General features: G+C 46.7%; 1 protein-coding gene across 1 annotated transcript in view, besides 3 other annotated features; it reads right to left on the bottom strand.

The window, feature by feature from the left end:
- Positions 1-6,972: 6,972 nt before the first annotated feature.
- ZCCHC2 (zinc finger CCHC-type containing 2) overlaps positions 6,973-9,395 on the bottom strand; it is a 63,705-nt gene continuing 61,282 nt past the window's right edge. The window contains exon 15 of the transcript NR_126534.2: positions 6,973-9,256. The gene's annotated coding sequence lies outside the window, so the exon portion shown is untranslated. The remainder of the gene's footprint in view (positions 9,257-9,395) is intronic.
- Positions 7,232-7,526: an enhancer, noted in NCBI's record as "tiled region #3490; K562 Activating DNase unmatched - State 12:CtcfO". NCBI's record gives its function as "activates a minimal TATA promoter and a strong SV40 promoter by Sharpr-MPRA in K562 cells {active_cell/tissue: K562}" and the evidence as "EXISTENCE:reporter gene assay evidence [ECO:0000049][PMID:27701403]".
- Positions 7,232-7,577: a biological region, named in NCBI's record as "Sharpr-MPRA regulatory region 3490".
- Positions 7,398-7,577: an enhancer, noted in NCBI's record as "active region_13433". NCBI's record gives its function as "activates an Ori minimal core promoter by ATAC-STARR-seq in GM12878 lymphoblastoid cells {active_cell/tissue: GM12878}" and the evidence as "EXISTENCE:reporter gene assay evidence [ECO:0000049][PMID:35858748]".

Genomic DNA, 9,395 nt, shown 5'->3' with positions numbered 1-9,395 from the left:
TACTAAAAATATAAAATTGGCAGGGTGTGGAGGTGCATGTCTGTAATGCCAGGTACTCAGGAGGCTGAGGCAGGAGAATCACTTGAACCTGGAAGGCAGAGGTTGCACTGAGTTGAGATCATGCCACTGCACTCCAGCCTGTGCAACAGAGTAAGACTCTATCTCCGGGGGGAGCGGGGAGACATATATATATATATATATATATATATATATATATATATATATATATATATATATATGTTTTGACATATGTACCTGTGAAACCATTACCACAATCAAGATAGTGACTATACCTATCACATCCAAAAGTTTTCTTGTGTCCCCTTGTGGTTTCCCCATTCATGCCCCTACCTCTACACCCAGGCAACCACTGATCTGCTTCCTGTCATTTCCATTTCCCAGAATTTTATCCAAATGGAATAATGCAGTCTGGTGCTCATATTTTGTCTGGCTTCTTTCACTTGGCACAGTTATTTTGAGATTCACCATGTTGTGTCTCAGCAATTCATTCCCTTTATTGCTGAGTAATATTCCATTGTTTGGTGAGACCATTCTTTCACCTGCTGATGGAGATTTGAGTTGTTTCTACTTGTAGCCTAATACAAATAAAGCTGTTATGGACATTCTTACACAAATCTTTGCATAGACATATGCTGTTGTTTCGTTTGGGTAAATTCCTAAAAGTAGAGTGGCTGGATTATAGTAGGCGTATGTTTAACTTAAGAACTGCCAAACTTTTCCAAAGTGGTTGTACCATTTTACACTCCAGTCTGAAGTTTATGAGAGTTCCAGTTGCTCCACATGTTGGTCAACACCTAGTGTGGTCTTTTTATTTCAACCACTCTATAATAGGTGTGCAGAGGTATTTCACTGTGGTTTTAATTTGCATTTCCCTGAAGACCAACAATGTTGAGCATCTTTTCATGGGCTTCTTCCTTGGTGAAGCACTTAGATCTTTTGCCCATTTTAAAAATTGTGTTTTCTTATTATGGAGTTTTGAGGTTCTAGATACAAATCCTTTATCAAATGTATGATATGCAAACATTTTCTCCCAGTCTATGGCTTGTCTTTTCATCTTCTGAACAATGTTGTTCAAAGAGCGGAGTTTTAATTCTGAGGAAGTCCAATCTATTAATATGTACTCTTACGGATTTTACTTTCACCTAAGAAATCTTCGCCTAACTCAAGGTCACAGAGGTTTTTTCCCGTTTTCTTCTATAACGTTTATAGTTTTTGCTTTTACATTTAGATCTATGAGCCATTTTGAATTAAGTTTTCTATATGCAGCAAGACATGGATTGATCCTTGGTTTTCTCCACAACCCTATTATTACCACTTTGCAGATAAGAATTAAGTCATGTAATTATTGGCCCCAAAGCAGAAGAGTCAGGAAGTAAATCCAGGTTTTTAGGCCTCTGAAGTTTGTGCTTTTTTTTTTTTGAAATGGACTCTCACTCTGTCTCCCAGACTGGAGTGCAGTGGCACGATCTTGGCTCACTGCAACCTCTGCCTCCCAGGTTCAAGCAATTCTCCTGCCTCAGCCTCCCAAGTAGCTAGGATTGCAGGCACGTGCCATCATGCCCAGCTAATTTTTGTATTTTTAGTGGAGATGGGCTTTCACCATGTTGGCCAGGCTGGTCTCGAACTCCTGACCTCAGGTGATCCTCCGTCTTGCCCTCCCAAAGCATTGGGATTACAGGCATGAGCCATCTCGCCCAGCGGAAGTTTGTGCTTTTAACCTAATGGTTTTTTAATGTAATGTGCATCTGAATGGCCCGCCCCAGGCATTCTGTGCAGTGGGGCTAGGCTGTGCCCTGGAGGCTGCATTTCACAGGCTTCCTGGTTGGTGGTCCTTGGACTGCACTGGGAGAAACACTGTGACAGCTGTGCTCCACCACTTCGCACTGGACTTTAAGGGCCTTTCCAAACGTTTTCAATCAAGAAGTGCTACCATTCTTTGCCAGAATAAACACACCTCCACTTTCAATTAGGTGGAGAGTCTGATTTAAAAGGAAACTGAGATTGCGAACCAGCTGGGCACAATGATTTATTTTCACTGGGGACAGAGAAACTCCAGAACAGGTCACTTCCTCCTTGGCCATCGTTTTTCAACATAGCCAGAAACAGGCATATTTTAACATCAAACTCCCCAGAAGATACTCGGCTATTCTGAAGTATCAGAGCATTGCGTTATCAGGAGGCGGGGAGGGTGGGAGAAGCGTTCTGGAGACCCACAGGAAAAGCCCTCCGTGGGCTGAACTTCCCTTCCACGGCCGTGTCGTGACTTCCCACCCTGCAGGAAGCAGACAGGATTGGGACTGCTGTCTACTGTTCCACCGAGGCCTTACCAAGGTCTGTGTGTGCTTTCTAGAAAGAAGGCACATTTGCACGGGGAGACAGGGGAGGGGGAGGCAACACCTGCAAACCCTGCTTGAAGCCTCTAAGTTTAGAAACCTGGGAACTTGCTTCTCCAATGTGCACATCTCTATAAATACACTAGGGAGGAGCTCAGTCCCGTGTGTCCCAAATAAGGTCAGGCAATGTGATGAGGGGACATCCTTTAGGTCACAATTTCTGTACTCTGGGTAGGGCAGGTAATAAAAAGGGTCAGCAAGGGCCCAGCCCCTGAATAGTGGCTGGTTGTCCCTATAGGGGAAGGACTTGAAAGCCCCCAGTGTCCACGCCTTCTGCTGATGGAGCTGTGCCAGCTCTGGGTTGAGGACTTCCCACCTTCGGCCCGTTGCTGAATGTACAAGGAGGCAGCACTGGAGACTGCCCAGCAATGCATCTAACAAGAATAAAGACAGAGAGAAACCTCTGACTGTTCTCTGTCCCTTAGCGTCCTTAAATTTTAGTTTCACTGCAATAAAAAGAACAAAGCATTAAGACAATGAAAAGACAATCCACAAACTGGGAGAAAATACTATATTTCCAAATCACTCATCTAATAAAGGACTAGCATCCAAAGTATACAAAGAATTCTTAACACTCAACAATAAGAAAATGACCCAATAAGATCTGGACAGCTCACCGAAGATGGCAAATAAGCATATGAAAAGATGAAAAGACGTTCCACATCATAGGTCATTAGAATTGCCAATTAAGACAACAATGTTAATTGTTGTAAGACAACACCTATCAGAAAGGTTAAAATGCAAAATACTGACACCTCCAAATGCTAGTGAGGATGTGGAGCAACAGGAACTCTCATTCATTGCTGGTGGGAATGCAAAAATGGTAGACACTTTGGAAAGACAAGTTTGGTCGTTTCTTAACAAAACTAAACACTCTCACCACATGATCCAGCAATCACATTCCTTGGTGTTTACCCAAATGAGCTGAAAACTTATGTCCACGTGTATGTTTACAGCAGCTTTAGTCATAATTGCTAGAATGTCAAAGCAACCAGGATGTCCTTCAATAGGTGAATGGATAAGGTGTGGGAATCCATATAACATTCTATTACTCAGCAAGACCAGAAACGAGCGATCCAACCCCAAAAAGGCATGGAGGACCTGAAATGCGTCCTGCCGAGCAGTAGCAGACAACCTGAAAACGCTCCAGACTGCAGGATCCCAACTACATGACATTCTGGAAAAGGCAAAACTAGGCAGACAATAAAAAGATAAGTGGGCCGGATGCGGTGGCTCACGTCTGTAATCCCAGCACTTTGGGAGGCCGAGGCGGGTGGATCATCTGAGGTCAGGAGTTAAAGACCAGCCTGACCAAGAGATGGTGAAACTCTGTCTCTACTAAAAATACAAAAATTAGCCAGGCATGGTGGCGGGCGCCTGTAATCCCAGCTACTCGGGAGGCTGAGGCAGGAGAATCACTTGAACCTGGGTGGCAGAGGTTGCAGTGAGCTGAGATCACACCACTGCACTCCAGTCTGAGTGACAGTGAGATTCCGTCTCAAAAAAAAAAAAAAAAAAATGGTTGCCAGGGATTCAGGGGAGGGAGGATGAACAGGAGGAGCACAGAGGACATTGGGGCAGTGAAACTATCCTGCACAACCCTGTAACGGCAGATGCATGTCCTCACACCTTTGTCAAAACCCACAGAACGGAACAAGAGTGAATCCTAATATAACTATAGACTTTGGTTAGCAACAAAGTATCAATGTTGGCTCATCCCTCGTATTAATAAAAAATAAGATACAGAATGATTGTATAGGACGATTACGAGTATGTAAAATAAAAACAGCTAACAGGAAAGAACAAGGCACAGTCTAACCCAAGAAGGGAGGCATTTCTAACTTTGATAAGCCCTAAAATAGGAAGGCAGGTTTCGAATAAGTAAACATTTTAAGAGAAAACAGAAGACTGTGTTAGCGCTCCCTGTATGCCAGACACCACGTTTAGATGATCTAACCCTTGCACACACCTGTGGGGTGGACACTACTGTGATTTTTATTTACAGGTAAAAGAACTGAGGCTCAGAGGGGAAGGACATTGCTCTGTGGCCCCAGCATGTAAATAGTCGTCTTCGGATTCAAACTGAGTCTACGCCAATAACCTCTATACTTCTGTTCAGAAATTTAGCAACTAGACAGAGGTTAACTAGAGTGGAATTGTAATATTACTTATCTGTTATTTAATAGATCCTTGTGAAATGCTTGGAGGTCACTTGTCTTAGCAGTTTGCTTTTTAAGACAGGGTCTCGCTGTGGCTGTGGAATGCTGTGGTGTGATCATAGCTCACAGAAGCCTCGAACTCCTGGGCTCAAGCAATCCTCCCGCCTCAGCCTCCTGAATAGTTGGGACCACAGGCATGCACCACACCTGGCTTTTATTTTTTGGTAGAGAAGGGGGTCTTGTGATGTCGCCTGGGCTGGTCTTGAACTCCTGGCCTCAAGCCATCCCCCCAGCTCAGCCGCCCAGTGATTATAGGCATAAGCCTTGTCCTAACGGTTTAAACATTTCCCCAGAAATCATGTTTCTATGTTTAGCAAACTGTCCTCCCTCCCTTCACCCCTACCATTAGTAAAAGGCACATTTCAGCCACTCACCTTTTCGTATTTGCACAATCTAAATTAAGTCCAAACGGAGTTTTCTGGTAAGCCTTTGCTGCTGATGTGTAACTTCAGCTTGCTGCCTGATGCACACACACTGTCTAGGTAGAAAAACCACTTTCCTGACCCGCCCAGGGAACTCTTTTCAGTCTCTGGTTTGATTGATGTAAGTTACCAGAGATTAGTGACTTGCGGACAAGATTTGGGACTCCTGGGGCAAGTCCCTTCCCCACTTAGTCTGGGAACAGTGACATAGAAGCTGGCACCAAAACAAGAGCTTGGAAAAAGTGAAGGCCCAAGAAGCCTGGAGGCAGCAGGACCCTTGGGATGGGCCCAGTGTGGCTGCAGGGAACAGGCATGCAGGGCGCAGACTTGCAACCCTGGGAGCTGGAGGCAGCACCCCTAACAAGGCATTCAACTTGTAGCAGAGATAGGAATGGGTTTGCAGGGAGAGTGATAGGAGAAGTGAAAGCCCAAAAGGGGTAATTGAATTAGCAAGGGCAGTGAACTCAACACAAAATCTTTGTATGGAACCCGCACATCTCCATCCCAAATCAACCTAACCCTTCTCTTGCCTCGGCTTCCTACATCATTAGAAAGAAATGATTTCTAAGCTGTGTTGTGTGATTGGCCACACCTCAAATCCATGGTTTCAATCTCAGTGGACCCTCAGGGATGCTGGGAGTTTTACTCAGTGCCCCTCGGCTCCCTGATCCAAGCAGCAGTTCCAGACGTTGGTCCCTCTCCTCAGTGCCTGCCTCCCCCATGTCACCGGGATAAAGGACACCATCAGGCCACCCTCCGCCTGCCCCAAGTACAACGGGCAACTCCACCTTCACAGCTCCCATCTGCCTAGGCGTCTTCCTCCAGCCCTGCCCTCATCCCCTCCCCTGCTGCCCCCATCCCCCAGCACCCGTCTTCTTAGCTTCAGTGACCCCGAGGAATAATTCCTTATCTCTACTGCACGTGACCACAACAGCCATTTCATTCTTGAAATCTTTTATTGATTTTTGTTGTTGTCTTCAGGGCACATTCTCTTGATCTTCTCCAGTGTCTCTTAATTCTCACTCTCAACCTTCTTTGATGGCTGTTTTCTCTGGAAACTTCCACTCTGTAGGAATGTGTTTGGGGAAAGAGAGAGTCAAGGAGTCTGTCTTTTCACTGAAGGCCATTAGGTGACTGTTGCAAGGAGAACCACGGTCTTCCAGATGCCCTCAGGTACCACTAATGCAGCCCGTGTACAGGAAGATTTTCCTCTGGGACCCACTTCTCCTGGCTCCCTCCCGCGGTGAAGCAGGTGCCTGCAGCCCCTGCCTGCCCCTGCCTGTCTCTGGACCACCCCGCCTCCCAGCTCCTGCAGCAGGACCTGGAGTCTTTCATTCCCCCACCCAGCGCACTCTCCATTAGCTACTCTTCCCAGAAGCACCTTGGGCGATGCTGTTTCCTTTGCCATCTCTCACCTCTTCACTAAGGAAAAGCTCACTTCTTCCTTCTTGGCTCAACTAAAACACGCCCTTTGAAAGTCCTTCCCTCATTCCCCTCCCCATTCTTTCTGATCTTTGGTGCTAGGATGCCCCTCGCTAGGCTGAGCTCCCAGCCAAGGTTTGCTGAATGACTGTGCATAAGAACCAGCAACTTCCTAACCGCTCAGTGCCGCGCACTGCCTGGGCTCACTGCACCCACTTAGCGTCTGTGCCTTCTTAAGCGCCAGAAACTACTGACTGTGCCAAGAAAGCAGAGCCCGAAAAGGAGGGCACGAGTCCCTCCTCCCAGAAAATCAGGACCTTCAAGATAATGCGAAGTGCATCTTTCTTCAGATGAGGCTGATTATGGCAAGCTTTTCCTGTAAGGGACAGACGGTAAATATTTTAGGCTTCGAGGGCCATAGCGTCTCCATCCCAGTTATTCCACTTTGCTGGGATAAGACAAAGCACCCACAGACAACACATAGAGAAGCAAGACGACCGTGTGCTAATGCACTTTATTTGTAGACACTGAAGTTTGAATTTCATGTATTTTTCACGTGTCACTAAACATTCTTTTTCCTTTTTCAACCATTTAAAGATGTAAAAACCATTCTTAGCTTGTCGGTGGTGGGTTGATGCCCCTTGGTTTATGCTGCCAACCCAAGAGCTACGCCTAATTCATATCCTTCAGCACTAAGTCATACAGCTTTATTTTTTTTGACTAAAAGGCCCCTGAAAATGAAAACTTTACACATGCAAGCAGAGAGGAGTCCGAGACTTTCTGACGGGGCAGGAGGGGCAGAAACTGCTCCCTAAGGCCAGGGACAGCCAGACCCGTGCTGATGCTGCCCCCTAGTGACTGGCCAGCCTAACGTCCATCTCCCACCCACGGCCACGCTGTGACGGGTTGGGGGTGTGTTCCCCAACACACGAAATAAGAACTTCAAATCAGTTCAATCAGAAAGCGTAAAGAACTGTAAACCCAATAAATCATTTAAAGTGAAAAAGTAGGCTTCAATTCACAGAATTTTAGAACTGAAAGGAACTTTTGAGATGACTCAGTTCCATTTTTACACCAATTTACCAACGATTCACGTAGCTTTCAGGTAAAAAAAAAAAAAAAAGGCAAGTTCCAGAAAGGGCTGGTGGCCCATGAGTGTTCGCAGAAGAGCCTGCCCGGGAGTCCCGCCTGCTGAATGCCAGTGCAGGGCTGCCTACACCTCACACCGACATACCCACGAAAGACAGAGGTGGCGTGGGGCAGCAACCTTGTTGTCACACTGCCTGGGCTCACCGTCACCCAATCATTCTGTGCCCTTGGATATCGACTTCTTAGCCTTTGTGCCTCAATTTCCCTAACTGTAAAACAGGGCAGAGTTCCTCCCTCACAGGGCTGTGGGACTGAAATGAGCTGATGCTGTCTGGCCCATACTGGGCATTCAAGTGTCCCCTGCATGACAAACTTCTTGAGAGTCCACTATGTGTCAGACATTGAGTGCTTTATGTCTGTGTGCCAGGTTTAATCGTGCAACTACTCTACAACGCGAGTGTCATCATCCCCACTATGTAAATCAGACCGAGAAAGGTCACATGGACTGTGGTGGGTGCCTTCTCTTGTACAACTGATTTTGTGAAGGCGTGGAAGGCACAATTAAGTTACCATGTAACAAATATGACGTGACTCCAATAGGCTAGCAGGAATAAGCACTCAGTAACTGCCAGGCAGCCTGGTGGCATTCTTCACCTTCAGCAGGGCTTGTTGTTGGGGGTGACTGTTCTTGTTTCTGCATGAAGGTTACTTTGTCACCATCCATCTTTGCCTTTGGAGTGTCTTGGGGGCAGCAGGGGTACCTGGGACAATCTATATGTGACTGTCAGAGCTTTAAAAACATCAGCAGTCACCTCTCCTTTCTCCTTGCCCCACTGCTTCAGTAGATTTAATGGAATACTCCGTGCGCAAAACTTGTGTGAAGCACAACTCAGCGTGCGAGTGGAGATATCTGTACACATTTAAAATCTGCATTGATGCCACTTGAATTTATCTGACAGGTAAATGCTTTTGAAAGCCTAGTTCTAAAAGTCCTGGATATTTCTCTGGAAACATTTCACCCTCCCGCGTCCTCAAATCCTTCGAGAGCCACAAGGAAGAGGCCTCGCTATGGGATAGGATGTGGCGTGTGTTCCAGGCGTGCCCACAACCTGGTCCAGCCCTCCTCAGTCCAGAGGCCACACGGCCATTCCACCTGTGGGTTCCTATCACCTTACACAGTTCCATAAAGCCACTGCCCTGGGCTCTGCCAGAAGCACTGGTGGGGGCAGGAAGTGGTGCCAGGAAGTGAGCACCAACTTCAAGCAGAGGCCTGAGCATCACCATGGGCCTGTCTGCAGCACTTCGTCTCACTGAACCCAAAATTTCTCTCCTAGAAAACGAGGGGAAACATTCCCACCCCACTTCACAGCTGTGATGACCAAATGCACGCAGGAAAAGCACAGAGGAAACCTTTAAAGTGTTCACACACACATTTCAACGGCTGAATGAGGGGTTTGCTCAAGCTGCTTTTATGGCCAGCTGCCTGCACTCTTTAAGGTTTTGGGCACAGGCTTCCAACCCCAAATGTTCCCTCTCTTACGTTTAATGTTCTCTAAATTAGGTCAGTAGGAAATAACATCTGCTTGCTCGCACTGTCCTCGTCCCCCACCAGGTGGCATTGCGTTCCAATGAGCAATCTCTTCTGGTGAGAGGCTGGTGGAGGCCTTTTTCACAGCGGCTCAAATTGGAACTGCAAGAGGAAAAAGAAAAACAATGAAGAACCACCCAACCCCCCACCTCACCACAACTCCCACCGCCAAATTTCAGAGAGCAAAACCGGATCATGGGATTGAGAGCTTCTGGTGACCAAGGCCCGCATTCTCTGCAGG

This window comes from Homo sapiens, chromosome 18 (assembly GCF_000001405.40).
Source record: "Homo sapiens chromosome 18, GRCh38.p14 Primary Assembly".
In the NCBI taxonomy this organism is placed as follows: domain Eukaryota; kingdom Metazoa; phylum Chordata; class Mammalia; order Primates; family Hominidae; genus Homo; species Homo sapiens.
Note: the sequence above shows the minus strand (reverse complement) of the source record. Positions and strands in the feature narration are given on the sequence as shown.